The 17,297-nt window shown below is 31.8% G+C and overlaps 1 long non-coding RNA gene across 2 annotated transcripts; it reads right to left on the reverse strand.

Annotated features, from left to right (window-relative positions):
- Positions 1-1,622: 1,622 nt before the first annotated feature.
- On the reverse strand, positions 1,623-13,120 carry LOC105377513 (uncharacterized). 2 transcript variants are annotated; one of them, XR_939406.1, is made up of 4 exons: positions 13,045-13,120; positions 10,587-10,774; positions 4,523-4,789; positions 1,623-1,947 (listed from the first exon to the last, which is right to left on the reverse strand). It is a non-coding gene; the product is annotated as an uncharacterized LOC105377513 (long non-coding RNA). The 2 variants fall into 2 exon arrangements; XR_001741528.1 differs by having other exon boundaries at positions 1,623-1,952.
- Between the last annotated feature and the right edge of the window lie 4,177 nt (positions 13,121-17,297).

The raw sequence follows: 17,297 nt of genomic DNA on the forward strand, positions 1-17,297 counted from the left end.
AAACTTTTATCAACTGAATTCAATAAAAAATACTGTTTGTAATGCATGTTGAACTGACCTAACTAAAATGTGATTGCTTCTGACTAGTTTAAAGCAAAAAGCTATGGATAAGCTATGCACTGTATAATTTGAAATAAATACTCTCTGTCCCTATTTTTCAAATAAAGGTACACTTTTTTTTCTTTAAATGTGAGTATATAACTTTTATGCTTCTTGATTTTTAAAGTAATTTTATTGTGCTACATAATTACTTGATAAATAATAAATATCATTAACAACTAATTCTGAACATGTTTGTGCAATCAATCTAATATTTTCTATCCGCTATTTTTCATTTTTAACAGTGCTACACATTACATGTACAATATTCATATAAAATACAGTGCATATCTAAAGAAATGCTTTACACATTGTTTAATCTAAATCCTCTATGTGGCCAGTGTTCTCTGACCTTTTTACCCCCATTACTATGTATTAGGAAATCAGTGGAGTCGCCAGTTACAGAAAGCATAGAAATCCTCTCATTCTTCCCAGTCTCAGGTATCAAGGTCTTACCACCTCTAGGACCATTCTCCCCTACTGAAGTCAAAAACTTTCCCAAAGTAATTGTTAAACAATCTGGTTCAATTGTTCTATGCATTTGATGTAGAAACAGCTTTTTCTGATGAAGATGGACAAAGACATATTCAGACCTACACACCTTCATTATAAGCCTAAATTGCAAAGATTGACCATCACACCAAAAATAATGTTCTAATTGATGTTGAATTATAATCAGTTATAATAAATTTTCAGTCCTCCCACATGCTCATATCCCTAACATATTATAACTCATTTTAATTTGGATATGTTCTCTACCCTATCAGTCAATGCTTATGTTATTTGTATCTTCTAATGATTAAAATTTTCTGCAACTACTTTCTAGAACAAATTAGACTATAAAACGACTGGATTGTTTTTATGTTTACTTCTAATATCAGGACTGAGTTTTTGCTTTGTTTCTCATTTAAATTAATTAGACTCTACTAGATTATATCATGTGTGATGCATTCAATACTATTTTTGTATAAACATGAAGTATCGAACTGAACTACTTTTGTTTTGAATTCGTTTCTTGAACAATAGAATATCAATGTGTAGTTTATAGAATTGTTCTTATCCTTTGATTTCATATGCTAATAGTACAATTATAAATCAAATGTATAATGCCTCTTAATGACAGCAAAGCAGACTTGTTGAGAAAACAAATTAAGATAAATATTTTGTAGGAAGAGAAATTAACCAATAATATATGAAGCAATTTGGATCTATGAACAAAATGCATAATCCTCCAAATCCCCATATCATTTCTAAAATAAAGATAAGCAAATCCATAGCCAAACTATATTTAATTTTGACCAAGGGTTGATTAAAATGAATGGAAGTGGAAGATAATATTTTAATCTTCCCTGTAAGCAAACCCTTTTGACATTGTTTGCAAAAACCAAGCTGGAATATATTTTGTCATGATATGTTATTACAAATAGTTGTAAACTAATAAAATAATACTTTTTCAAGATTTATGAAAAAATATAAATTTTTCAAATATAGAAATGGCTAAAAATTAATATTGATAACAAAAAGCACGGTAAGTTATATTTTAATGCGTATATTATCAGGTAATTATTAATCATTATAGTTTCATAACAAATTACCCCAAAATATTGTGAATTAAAACAACACACATTTGTTATCTTGAAGATTCTGTGGATCAGTAAATAGCACCATTTAGTTAGGTACCTTTAACTCAAGATCTTTCACAAGGTTGTAATGGAGATGTTAACCAGGGCAGGAGTCATCTTCAGACTTGACGTATGAAAGCACCACTTCGAAATGCGATCATTGGACTGTTACCTGTTACCTTCCTGCTTTCTTGCCATGTGGGCCTATTCCCAACAATGCTGCTTGCTTCTCTCAAAACAAGAACAGAGAGAGAGAGAGACACAAAATGAAAGTCACAGTTTTTTGTAATCTAATCTCAAATCAATCATTTTTTTGCCAGAGACATTAGAAGGAAGGTATTAGGTCCAACTCACATTCAAGACATAGAGATTACATAAGGATGTAAATTTTAGGAGGCAGAGACTATTGGGGGCCATTTTAGAAGCTATGTACTAAAATTTATTTGTATATTTGGATATGGATAATTGTGTATCATTTTAAAAATGAACAATCTCTAAGGCTGCATAGATTGATTTGTTTTATATATCAATATAACTTATGTGATAAAATGCATATGTTTACATTACACATTTAAATAATAATATGGACAAAATGATCACCTAATAAATGTTAGCTGAAGTTAAATTTATGTGATCTCTGCTCATACATAGGACCCAAATCTCTATTAGAAACTTACCTAAGTGGCAAAACAGTGTCCTGTTTTCCTGCATGCGTTACCAGCTGATTTGGCTTTCACAGTCAACTAGGGGAAAGCTACCACCACAAGAGATTTCTGCTTGTGGCTTATTCTTTAAGAAAGCATTCTATACACACTTTTGAAAATTCTTTGAAAAGTTTCTATTATGCTATTTTGCCACTTATGTTGCTAAATTAGGCAAGAAAAAAACTCCAGAGTGCCAACAGTGCATATGCAAATGTTCCTATTAACTTATTAAAATGAAGAGCATCCATAACACTGCACTAAACTTTGGAATTTGAATTTGCATTACATCAGGAATGCTAAAGGGTACATCTTTTGGATATTTTATATGTTTGTTCACTGTGCTTCCCACACTTATTTAAAAATCCTAAATTATAAACTGTTATTAACAAAATTGAACTAATTACTATCCAAAACTCACCATGTATCTTATAAATAATATGAAACTCCACAGAACCTCAAAAAGTAATAAAAGTAAAGAATATGTTCCTCTTCTGAGGGACAAATAAAGATAATCTGTGAAGATAACAGGCTAAACACAGGTCTGCAATTCCCTCCCTCTTACAACTTCCTCTCTCAAATAATAACCATAAAAAGGTGCTGGAAGATTCTGTATGATGCATTTAACCAGAGCACAATTGACTAATACAAGAATCCCACACAAACTACTATTCATCTGGTAGTGTAAATTGTATTCAGACTTGTAAAGATCACAATTGGTAGTAATCATTAAGCTCATATGGAAAATACTTAGAGTCCTTTTACCAAAGTGTCGAGTGAATTAGCAAAAAGAACCCATGATTATAGTAAAAGGTAACAAAATAAGGCGAACACAATATTAAAATATCTAAGTGGAATGATGAAAGTGTAACTGAAACGTAATGATATAAATATTTAATAAAGCTATTGAAATAGAGAAGACAAAAGGAAATATGAGCCTGGATCCAAAATTCTAATAGAGATCAAACAAAGCTAGAATTGGTGTGGTTAGAGGAGAAAATAATTTCTGAATACTGGAAAGAGTAAAGAAGCACAGTAACCTCTTTGCAGGAACAAAAGACATCATAGATAAGGAGAAAATCATAGAATGGACTCAGAAGCTTTTATTTTCAAAAAAATTTCATTTAAACTAAATGTCACCAACAATGATGAAAAATAGAATAATAAAATAATGTCAACTGAGTCTTGAGAGAAAATAAATTTGTGCATTTATTTCTTTTTATCATTTAATGAGTAAGGAACATTTGTTTTCTGTTCAAATAAATATGAAAGAAAGTAATACCAGTGTATCCTTATTAAAGGAAATGCTGAAAGATGTACTTCTGAAAGAATATCTGACATCCAAAAAGATACAATATGTAAGATTTGACATCTAGGAAAAAAAGACCAAGGAAAGGATGAAACTTCATTAAATTGATTACATAAAATAAATATATATTTTTAAATTTGAATTATTAATAGTAAAAATAATATCTATTTAAAAAGCATCTAAATCAAAACGATATTACTGAAAATAAAATACTTTAAGATCCTTATTGTACATAAAGTTAGTAAATGTTAAATTTCGGGTTCGATAATTTATTTTTAAATTCTCATCATGATCACTGAGTGTTTAACATCCTGCAAAGTAAATAAGAAATAGAGAGAAAAGAAAAACGTTACTTAATTCATGTGAAGTCAAGGGAAACAAAGACAAAATAAAATTTTTAAAAAATGCAGTACTAATAGCACAAAATAAAGACAATAGAATCAGCCCAAATAATATTTATACCCATGTTCAATGTTAGCAGAATAATCAAGATAGCTAAATGATAAAGGATGCCATTAGATTAAAACCAAATTACAAAGCCCTTCAAAAGACAAAAAAAAAAAATCATAGGAACACAGATAAACTGAAATTCAAAGTTTGGAAAAATAACTTCAATGTATAGGCTTTTAGGAACTGAAGTACAGTTAGTATCAGCTAAAAAAAGACGAATATGGCTGGGGGGAAAAACACAGAAGTAAGAGACTTATCTGTTTACATTAGTTTCCTGTAGCTGCTCTAGTAAGTTATCAGAAATTTCATGGCTTAAAAACAACAGAAATTTATTCACTCACAGCTCTGGAAGCCAGAAGTTTGAAATGAATTTGACTTGGCTGAAATCAAGGTGCCAGCAAGATCCCATTGCCTTTGGAGGCTCTCAGAAGCAATCAGTTTCTTGCCTCTTCCAGCCTCTGGTGGCTGTCAGTATTCCTTGGCTTGTGGCTACATCACTCCAGTCTTCAAGGTCAGCCTCTTATCAATATTCTTAACTTTTTCTCATCTACCAAAGATCTTCCTTTGCCCTTTTTTTTTTTTTCCAGATTCAGAAACATTCACAATTTCTAGAGTTAGGACATGTATATTTTTAGGGGAAGGGAAGCATTCTTCAGACTATCACAGTATCAGCATTTATTTATTTTAAAACATACACTTAAAATATAGACAGTTCAAAGTTTCTACATATGATCAGTTATCTTCTAAACACATAAAAGTGCATTTGGCTGAATTGCAAAGAAGCTGAAAAATTCTCACATCCTAGTTCCTCACTTCAATAAACTTCTCAGTAATTGATTTGCCTAACAGTTAAAACAAGTAAGAAAGTAGTGCAAATTTTAATAACATAATTAACAAGTGTGGCTTTATAGACATAAGGTCTATAGATATGAAAAATAAGAAAGTTAATCTCTTTATAATAAAAATGGAACATTAACACAGACTGACCATGAAGCATGCATAAAAATGCAAAATTACATCCTCTGTTCATAGTAAATTTAAGATCTAAATAACAAAAAATATTTTGTTATATTATAGAGGTTAAAAATATTTTATAAAATGGGTTAATAATGGATTAAAACATTTAATTTAATAATTAAAATTATCACATTTCAAACCCTGTTGCAATTACAGGGAACAAGCCAATTTTTGTTTATTTGTTTTGTTTTATTTTTCCAAGTCAGATTTATTAAGATATTTACACAAAGTAAACGTTTCCCTCTTTAACGTACAGTTCTATGAGTTTTGACAAATGCATACAGTCATATAATTACCAGCAAAATCAACTTATAGAAAATGCCCAGTAGGCTAAAATGTCCCCTTTTGCCTTTTTGTAATCGAACACACAGCCAACCCTTAAGTATACCTGTTTTCTGCTGCTATAGTTTCGCATTTTTTATCTTTCGTAGACTCCATATGATTCTCAGCTCTACATTGAATCATCCAGAGTGTACATTCCTTTTATTAGATCATAGTTTATTATTTATATTACAGTCTTATAACTGTACCACTCAACACACCCTTTGTATGAGTCTATTAAAGACTAATTACTGAAATTAGAGAGACTTATAATCTACACTTAGTCAGAAAACATTACCTTCTGATTTATGTTGACTACTATGCAATTATGTTTTACTCACTATGTTATTTTTGTATTCTTCCATGATAAGTAGTCAATAATTACTCACTCAACAAATCTACGCAGAGCCCTTCAAGAAATGCAGTAAAGCATGGTTTCATTGATTAACAGGGAAAACTACTTTCATATAGTTAATAGATTGGTGAGGGAGGCTGATGTTTATTTTTAAATTGGGATTGAAATGATTGTTTTAAAGGAGTAGTAGAGTTCTGTAAAGGTGTAAAGGTCTACACCAGGGGAAACATGATTAATATTATTGGCTATCACAATTCTCTGTGGAAGCGACATTTAAGCCGAAATCCAAATAGCACATGAGTGTTAGATTAAGAGTCTGTGAGATGTATCTGACGGATCTGAACATTTGAACAATGAATAGGCATCCAATTATGAAGGGTATTGTATAGTTGTGCTCAACTTCTTCTAATACATTTTTTTGCTACAGTAACTAAGAGGGTAAAAACTGAGATCTTAAGTAAAGTTGAACCTAGGATTCTGTTGATTTTACTTATCTTTGTGAGTTAAACTCATCTATACCATAAATTTAGCAAAAATTAATTTAGGGGGTGGAGAAACACTAAATAAAACATCCATATTGTGTATAGAGATTACACTTCATACTGTCTGGTTTTGAGACAACTGCTGAAGGTGTGACTTCCTGATTTATCCTGTAGCAGCTTCTTTTTTCAATTTTATTCAGTTATAATATACATATCATAAAGTTAATGCATGGAATATTTACATATTCCCAGAAAATGTATGTGTCCTTTTGCAGTTAACTTCTCCTAGCCAGGCAATAATTTTTATCATTATACATGAGATTTCCTTGTTTCAGAAGAATTTCTCGTAAAATCCAGTTGAAAAGAACAGGGATTCTGTAGAGTGTAATGCTCTGAAAATGTCAATTGGGTCAAGTTGGTTGATTGTGTTGTTGGTTCTTCTATTTATTGATTTGTTGTTTATTTATTCTATCAATTCCTGAGAAACTGATGACAAAATCTCCTCTGTGATTTTGGATTTTTCTATTTCTGTCACTTATTCTTACCTGAATTTTGATATTTTGATATTTTGATGTTCTGTATTTATACCCATACATATTTTGATTGTTTATTCCATATGAATAACAAATAACAACTTTATTATCATTACATTGGCAATCCCTTTGGTTTTTACTTTTTAATTGTTGCTATTGTTTCTTTGCTTCTTCTATGCTGAATGCTTTTTGGTTGTTGTTTAATTTTCTGTCCATTACTCTTGTAGCTATACCTATTTTTTTATTTTTAGTTGTTGCCCTAATGCTAACAATACGAATCCTTAACTCATCTGTCTAATCAGGGCGGACATTATCCTTCTTCACATTTCAAGATTTCTACCTAAACTTTGGACTTGCTGCTTTGTTCTTTCCCCTTCACATTAGACATTTCACACTACACAATTCATGATGCATGCTTTCACTTCACAACTGTAATAAATGTACAGCAGTGTAATTTTGTCTACCTTTCTCATCCTTTGTGATTGTTGCCGTGTCCTTCCCTCCTCAAATGTTACAACCTTATCTTACAGTACTGTTATTTCTGTTTGCACAGGTACTTTTAAATATACTATGAAATTTAAAAATACAAACTTTTATATTTCCTCTTTCTTACACTTGTTTTGATCTTTATTCCTATGTGTAGATCCAAATTTCAATCTGGTACCATTTTCCTTCATCCTTGTAGCACAAGCTTATTAGTGTCAAACTCTCCAAGCCTTTATTTGTCATAACGTCTTTCAAATTTACTGTTGTTTTTGAGAGTTATATTGATGGATATTTAATTCTAAATTGACAGAAATTATTTCTTGTTTTTTAGTTCCTTGTGGATATCTACTCATTAATTTTAGCCATTATTTTTGATGAGAAATGATAATTATTATCTTCATTTCTTATACATAATGTACCTCTTGTCCCTTCCCTAAACTTTGAATTCTTTCAGTTTTTTTTTTTTCTCATCTGAGATTTTCAATAATTTGAGCACTATGTGTCTATTTACCCTGCTTGGATTTTGGTGAGCTACTTGTTTCAATAGTTCAAAATTTAAATTTAGTTAAATTTAGAAAATTTTTAGCTTTCACTTTTATAAAAATGTTTTTAACACACAACATTTCTCATCTCTTCTTTGGACTCCAATTACACATATGTTACATTGTTTGATATTGTCCTGAACATTCTAGATGCTCATTTTCCTTTAGCTAATTTTTATCTTTCTGTCTTAAGTTTCCTGGTGGTGCCATGAGAAAAATGCCTTTTGCATCTGAGACTTATGGTGTGATTTGGGACTCATTCCCAGAAATTTGTTTTCTTGAGCATCCCAAATGATTTTATAAGTTATCTTAAGTTCTGAAATAATTTCCCTTAAATTTATACAACCTACAGTAGATTAGATTTTCTGAAATCAAACATGTTCTGAAGTTGAACAATATTTAATTGAGATTAAAGCATAGTATATAAAGGAATTGGGACACAACTTAGACCTCATACAGAAGATATGTCATATGTGAGCTCTAAACAGTGATCGATATGATCGACAGTTTTCTTGGCCTATCATGCTGAGAATGGACTATCAGTAAAAGTGAGATGTCAAGAATGAAAGCAGTAAAGAGGTGATGATACTTGGGATAATATAGTATAACAGAGATAAAAATGTTCCTGATTGAAGATTTGTTTAAGAATATCATTAAATGTTCCTAATGTTCTATTTTATATCAATGTTTATGACTAAAAATTTCTTGGTGCCTATGGAATTTTGCTCTATAGCTCATACATATATTCTATATTTTATATATATTTACATATAATATATATCATGTTATATTTAAGATTATATTATATATAGTTATAATACAAGGTATAATATAATAAGTAATAAAAACATTTCAGTAATAAAGATAATATTGTGTAAGTTTTATGTTTAAACTAATTTTCTTTAAACAATAGGTAACGTTTATAGTACTAATTCATAAGACCCAATCAGGCATCATAACATCCAAACATACTATGAATTAAAAATGTTTCTACAGGATCTGGAAAGGAAATTATCATGGCAGAAAAGAATAGTGTGCCACAAAATGTATGAGTTGAATTTTTCAAAAAATCATCCATGTAATAGAAATGTCCTACTTTGATGGTTAAATGTCAATGTATTATTCAGATTGTATTTTATTATTTCAAATTATTCTTATTTAAACAAGTCTCAGAGATACTTAGTTCATTAAGAATCAGATAGCAGTTTCAGCCTTTAAAGTTTCAATGTGTGCAAAAATAAGACATTGCTGATAAAGCAGTAATGTTATATTTCCATAATATATTCAGAAGTAAAAAAATGATATTTTTGTTTTTTTAAGCAGCCTCTGGTATAATAAAAATATTTGATTACTCATAAATAATTTCAGAAAACTTGAAGTGTCTTCATTTTGAAGTATCTCTCTTCCTTGTTCATGGAGAGATGGATGGATAAATTGATAGGTTCTTGGAGCAGAGTAAAATATGAAATTGGAGTTGATACTAAATTTATAATACTACACATTTCTGATATTTATTTATTTCTATTTATTTTTTCATACTACTAGTGATGAAGTTAGGGTCAAGTGGAGAGAGAAAAACTTAGTGTTTTATACAAGGATTAAAACCCTTTATTTAGATCACAAAACAATTGACCCAAACCTCTCACAAAATTATTCCCACAGAAGATAAAAATAACCAATCTAATTTTTACCATTATACTCTTGAACAGAGTGATTCTGAATGTTTGGAACAGTAACTATATATAGAATTTAAAGGATTTCCTAAGTATTTATTAAGATATAATAAACAACTTAGGTCTGTGTTTATAGAATATGATGGCCTTTGAAGTAATTTGACATGGTTTACAGTAATTCATATGTTTAAATCTACCATGCTTTTTTACTGTCAGCTAATAAGGAAAGTAACATCAAAAACCTCCATTATAAACAAAAACAGTTCTTATAATGAGACTCTTCAATGAAACCCCAACACTCTGAACTGCTCTTGCCATCATGAAATACTGAGTTGAAGTAGCAAGTAATAGTCTGAATGAGCTCATTGATTTAACATTCTACACAAGTAAACCTAAACAACATAGCATCTTTTACTCAAATTAGGCCTACGGTAAAAAGAGGGTGAATATTTGTACAACTAACTATTTTGTCTCTTTGTTCAATAGATCAGTGATCTAAACTTATTTTGGAACTCTCATGTTTTATTTACTTCTTAAGTCTGACATTTTAAGCTTTAATAAACAACCAGTTTGCCTTAAAGTGCTTAGCAGTCCTTGCTGAAATACAAGCTTAACACAAGAGGTGGCTCCATTTCGGAATTTTTTTCCCTTTCAATTTTTTTTATATTAAACTTAAAGATAGTATGTGCTATTTTTGTTATTAAAATAAAATTTTAAAGTATTTAAAGCGCAACATTGATGTAACTATACTTTTATACACATACAATTTGATAAATTTTTAATATTAAGCATGAATTTAGATCTCCGTTCATAATTATTCACTAGATAACTTTTTGCTAATGAAACAAAATCAAATTTGAAATCTCCTATATAATTTTTGTCTTCTTGAAAATATCTGGGCTCCTCAAGATAGGTGTTTTAAACAAATCTATGCAATATGAATAGATTATCAACGGACATATAAAAATCAAAGGCATAGCAACTGACCAAACTCACCTTTCTATGATCATGGTTTTATTTTGTCCAACGCATTTCAGAAGAAATCTCCTATTATATTTGAGTCCTTTCATTGCATTACCTATTGTATCATGTAATAAACATCCAGTCGATGAATAGAAATGATCGTAGATATTTTAGAAAGAGGACATTTAGCACAGGGAAGCAGTAAAAAAGTATTGAGATAACTGGAGTGGGAAAAAGAAAAATTGAGTAACCCAAAGATTAGTAATCGCAGGAAACATTGAATCTCCTTGGTTCTAGGGGAAGAAAAATGTTATTACCAAATCCCAGCAGCTCACTTTTTCCTGCCCTTCTAGAGGAATACCACGTTGAGTTGCTATGAATACCAAGGTGAAAAGAACCACATGATCATGACTGGAGCTCCTAAGAATGGATTTCCTGTGACTATACTGCCACCACAGAAGAAACATAACATGTATGAGGTTAAGACCAGCAGGGCCACACTGAGGCTTGTCACTGAGAAGAGATTCTGAGCTTGCAGTGTTAGAACTGGCAACAATCTCTTCGAAGCAGTTGTTATATGCTGCTGCTGGAGAGATACTGCCAAAAAAAAAAAAAATCCACAGGGAGAGTGCTATTTCCTTCTCTTCCTTACATTCAGTGCCCTGAGAGTAGTTCTGTTTGTAGCTCAGAGCAAACCAAATGTTATGGAAGTCTGTGGATAGAAGATTGTGCAAGTTCCATTCCTCTTGTAACATGTAGCAGAAATAGAGGAGTAGAAACGGGGTCTCCAATTTTCCAAACATGAAATACTTGGGCCAGGCACGGTGGCTCACTCCTGTAATCCCAGTACTTTGGGAGGCCCAGGTGGGTGGATCACCTGAGGTCAAGAGTTCAAGACCAGCCTGGCCAACATGGTGAAATGCTGTCTCCACTAAAAATACAAAAATTAGCCAGGCATGGTGGTGCATGCCTGCAACCCCAGCTACTTGGGAGGCTGAGACAGGAGAATTGCTTGAACCTGGGAGGAAGAGGTTGCAGTGAGCCGAGATTGTGTCATCGCACTCCAGCTTGGGTGACAAGAGCAAAACTCCGTCTCAAAAAAAAAAAAAATGTAGCTGAATTTCTGGCATTTTTAACATGTTATTTTTGACAAATGATATAATAAAATTAGAAAAATGCTTTCAATAACATTCTATAAAATATTATTTTGTATATTACAAAGTCCTGTTTTTTAAAATAATGTGTGACAGGGTCTATAAAGATAAGCTTTTATGTATACTCTAATGTTTCAGACGATTACTATTCAACAAAAATGTATTAAATTCAGTGAAACAAATTTGCTTCTTTTGTAATTGCTGGAGGAAAAGCAAATTTATATCATTATTTGAATTATTGATAAAATGATATTGAATATTGGGTATTAAATTATTTCTACATGCTTAGAAAAGTATCAAAATAGTTGAAATTGATTGTTGTAAATAGAATAAACAAATTACGATTTCTTTTTAATTTATATATGTAAATGGAAAAAATGTTCATGGAAATATTTTACTTGACTATTGTTTTCAGCAAATTTCTATCATATACAGAACATGAAATCTTAAACAGAAATGCCTCAGGAGTATGTCTGTTTGGAGGATGTTTAATAATACTATACAATAGGATATCCTTTTTTCAAATATGACTGTAGGCAAGAGGTGACTTCCCACCTATTGAGTTGTTTAATACTTTTCTCATTATTCACCATACAGAACACAGACACAGAACAGTCAGGCCAGAGAGAGCCAGAAGGCTCCTGTCTCATGTGGCTGTGGTCATTAACCAGTAACATGGGAAGCAAGAATTTCAGGGTGTATGCTGGAGAGGAGCAAATTTTTATTTAGGAGTCAATGTATGAAAACATTGAACATGAAAATTCTGCATGAGTTCATAAGAAAATATCAATGACTTCAAGTAATTAAGTAAAAGGATCAGGCAAAGAGGTACAAAATAAGTAGTTCCCAAAATAGAGGAAGCTCTAGACTTGTCCATAAAAGGTATTATTATTCTGGCCTCTAGGTAAAAACTATTCAGTGTCTTTTAAGTGAGAAATACAGATCTATATCAGAAGCCACTGTGTTTCCATTATACATAATTTATAATAGTATTTACATTCAGAGTTCTCACAAACACTATTATCAACTATAATCCCAAATTTGAAAATCATATAGGGTCTTTATCCAAACAAGTTTAAATTGGCTCTGATATTTGCCTTAGCTGGAGCTTATCTCAATATAGATATGGCCAACATATAAATGCACAGATATGAAAATATATAGTTCACTTTCTTACAGGGATCTATAGCTTGTAGTGCTTCACGGCAAATATGAAAACAAAAGGTTTTACTTACAAAAGCTTTATCAATAATGCTTAAATCATTCATGTATATGCTAGGTTTTGTATCAATAGTGTTTTCTCATTATAAAGATTATAGCATACAAATTTAACTCACATATACAGAGGAGAGAAAACGCAGAATATTTTAAATTAATATCACCGTCAAACACAATTGCTGTAATCACTTCCACTTCTTTCCATGAGGTTAAGAGGGTACATATCCCAGCCCCAAAAAGAACTAGACATAAAATATGAGTGAAAAATTAACCTTTACTGTTCAAAGCTGCTGAGAGTCTAGAGTTGTTTATTAACTCAGCTTCATTTGTCTACTCCAAAGATTAAACACAGTATTATATGCTTTCTAAAAGGCATACTAAAATATCAATTTTATATATTAAATTTGAGGGACATAGGATAAAACATACTAGGAAAATAAAAACAAAAAAGGCAATATTAATATTAATGTCAAACATATGGAAATTTAAATCGATAGCAATAATAAAAGAGATACATGTGTGATGAAAAAGACAAAATGTATGTATAATGAAAATTTAATTATAATAAACCATAATCACAAAACGGTATGTAAAATAGACACCTACAGCAAATCAATTAAATATTTACGGATATCTTTATGAAATAAATTTTTAATATACAGTTGGAGATGTCACTGTATATTATCTTCACTGTATGTCTTGGACTAAACTGACCTAAACATAATAATAATCAAAAGTTAGGCTAAAAATAATTGTACAATGCATTTAAGAAAGTGATCAAATAGATGTACAGAGGACTTTACAATACCTGAATCCAGTACAAATATAATATCAAAACCAGAAAAAAAGTAATAACATATTTATGCTGGATTCAAATATTTCTTTTAGATTTATTGGCTACACCTTTAGATTATTTGCATTTGTGTTCATGTATGTGCTTTATTTTTATGTACTTTTTATGTGAAAACTTTCCTGGTTATGATACCAAATGTATACTGGATTCAATATTGTCCAATGTGTGTGACTATTTGATCACTCTCCTAAATGTTTTGTCTTTGGTTGGAAAGACAATATTATAAAATATGAGTTTCAGGAAACATATCTATTATTCAAAAATATAATTTTAATCCCTCAAGATTATTAGTTATTTTATTTTTTGGATTTTATAAAGTAATCTCAAATTTCATCTAAAAGAACAAATTTCTGGGCTGGGCACAGTGGCTCATGCCTCTAATCCCAGCACTTGGGGAGGCCAAGGCAGGTGGATCATGAGGTCAGGAGATCCAGACAATCCTAACACGGTGAAACCCCGTCTCTACTGAAAATACAAAAACTCAGCCGGGCATGGTGGCGGGCGCCTGTAGTCCCAGCTACTCGGGAGACTGAGGCAGGAGAATTGCTTGAACCCAGGAGGCAGAGGTTGCAGTGAGCCAAGATCCCACCACTGCACTCCAGCCTGGGTGACCGAGCAAGACTCTGAAAAAAGAAAAAGAAAAATTTCTGAGAGTAGTTAAGAAAAGAATACTAAAGTATTTCAAATATGAGAGAATATTTATTTCATCAGAGTCACACGTTATAGACTCACTGTAATTACATCAGTGTAATACTAGTAGATGTAGACAAAAGATTAGTAATCCAGTAGATTTCCTTATATAAGAGAAAATATCTTAAATATGACAAATCCACATAAAATATATTTATTTAATGGTTCTGGCATAACTATCTGAGTTTTTTTGTTTGTTTGTTTTTTGTTTGTTTGTTTGTTTTTCTTTGAGATAGAGTTTCACTCTTGTTTCCCAGGCTGGAATGCAATGGCATGATCTCGGCCCACAGCAACCTCCGCCTCCCTGGTTCAAGCATTTCTCCTGCCTCAGCCTCTTGAGTAGCTGGAATTACAGGCATGCACGACCACGCCCAGCTAATTTTGTATTTTTAGTAGAGACGGGGTTTTTCCATGTTGGTCAGGCTGGTCTTGAACTCCCGACCTCAGGTGATCCACCCGCCTTGGCCTACCAAAGTGCTGGGATTACAGGCGTGAGCCACCGCACCTGGCCGAAGATTTTTTTTTTTTTTCAAGATACTAATCTCAGAGTATTTTATTTTATTTTATTTTTTTGAGACAAAGTCTTGCTCTGTCACCCAGGCTGCAGTAAGTAGTGCAGTAAGCAGCGCGATCTTGACTCAATGCAACCTTCACCTCCGGGTTCAAGCGATTCTCCAGCCTCAGCCATTCTCTATCCTCAGCCTCTTGAGTAGCTGGGATTACAGGCGTGTGCCACCACAGCCGGATAATTTTTGTATTTTTACTAGAGATGAAGGTTCACCATGTTGGCCAGGCTTGTCTTGAATTCCTGACCTCCGGCGATCCACCCACCTCTGCCTCCCAAAGTGCTGGGGTTACAGGTGTGAGCCACCATGCCGGCCATCTCACAGAGTTTCAAAAATAAAACACAGAATTAAACTTTAAAAAACATTGATATATATCTTTTGAAAAAAGTCAACGAAAGTACATTTAAATTCTATAAGCAGACACTTACCTAATTAAGATTTTAAACTCCAGAACTCTAAACAACATTTGCATGAACAGGTAACAATCCAGAAGCAGAAAGTTAAATGCTACATGTTCTCACTCATAAGTGGAAGCTAAATAATCTATACACATGTACACAGAATGTGGAATCATAGACACTGGAGACTTGGAAGGGTTAGGGATGGGAAATGACTTAATGGATACAATTATTTAATGCACAACACACATTATTCAGATGGTGGTTACACTAAAAGCTCAGACTTCACCACTATGCAATATATTGATGTAAAATAACTGCAATGTTTTCCTTAAATGTATATGAACTCTAAAAAACTTCCATTACTAAACATAATATTTAAAAGTAATAAAATATTGAGTTTTGGCAGATGGTACTGAAATATATAATTTCTAATGTGCAAAAGTCTTATAACTGGCAAGAATGGAAAGAAAGTACAGACGTTTTAATATAAAAACGGCTAAAGTCTATGGTACATAGAAAGTAGGTAGAATTTAGTAGACATTTGAAAATATACCTAAGTGCTCTGTTATATAATATGTAGGGATTTTCATTGTATGGTGTTATATGAGAAAAAAGATGCCTCAAATTATGCATAATATGTAATTTTTGGAAATAAACCATAATACAAATTTTTCTCATATATACTTATGCTTGTATACTTATTTAGAAATGTGTATGTCTCTACAGGGTTATCAGAACATACTAATCAAGTCCCAAAAGATATATTACTATATTGTTAGGTAGGTGTTGAGGTATTGAGTTCTAATGTTCCTGAAGGGTCGAGGGTGGAAGGAACATGCGGATGGGAAATAAGAAATAAGGAAATCATTTAAAAATTAAAAACAACATGTAAAATTATATAAGTAGAAGTATATTTATGCATTTCTTATAAAGTCATAGATGTATATGTCTTTACATGAAATGATTACAATTTAAGTAATTGAAGAAAAGTAAGTTTGGCTTTGAGATGTTTACATAGACACACTAAAATTGATCTGTTTAACAAAAACTGAGGTTTCTGGGTGCAAAATGCATGGGAATCATGACAGCAAAAATCATTCCTTCACAGCACTTTGTGTCTATTTCTTTTCCACCACAGTGTTCATGCCTGCTGAATGCAGATTAGTCTAAAATTCCTCTCTATGCAGTGCTCAAGGAACCATTAACAATCTGCAGGTTCCATCTCTTTCAGCTTTCCTGGATTAAAGCTACTCTGCTTCAAATGCCTCAGTTATCTGAAGCAAGCAGGCATGATCCGGGTCAAAAGATAAATTGGGAAAAACTTGATTTCAAATCTCATTTCTATTATTATTATTATTATTTTATTTTAGTTACAAAATTGTATATTTAACCTTGGAAGAGCTATTCCTATTCTATTCTCTATGCTTTGGTATTTATGAAGTTTCAGGTCTCTGCTGTCACACTCTATCTTAAAGATATAAAAGTTAATTATTTTGCATAGAATATGTACTTATTTATGGTCATTAGCTGGGAGCACATTGAGAATACTCAGCAGGATTCTCCTATTTAAGTAGAGATGTGGAGCACGTTCTCTCCCGTGATCATGTTATTTATGTGATTCAGCATGTCATCTTTTCCACTCCTAACAGACCTATTTATCTTGTAGCCATTCCACAAAATTCAGTGTATGTTCATTAGAGCACTTGATTAAAAGTACACAAACCCTCATTAATCCCACTGTGCCCTGTAGAGCCATGCAGTGTTCTACATCATTAGAGTTTAGGTCACAATCTCAAATTTTTATGACTCAAGGTAAACTCCAAGCTGTGAGAACCTGGTGTGAACAAGATAGTAAAAATCGA

Source organism: Homo sapiens, chromosome 4 (assembly GCF_000001405.40).
Source record: "Homo sapiens chromosome 4, GRCh38.p14 Primary Assembly".
NCBI lineage: Eukaryota > Metazoa > Chordata > Mammalia > Primates > Hominidae > Homo > Homo sapiens.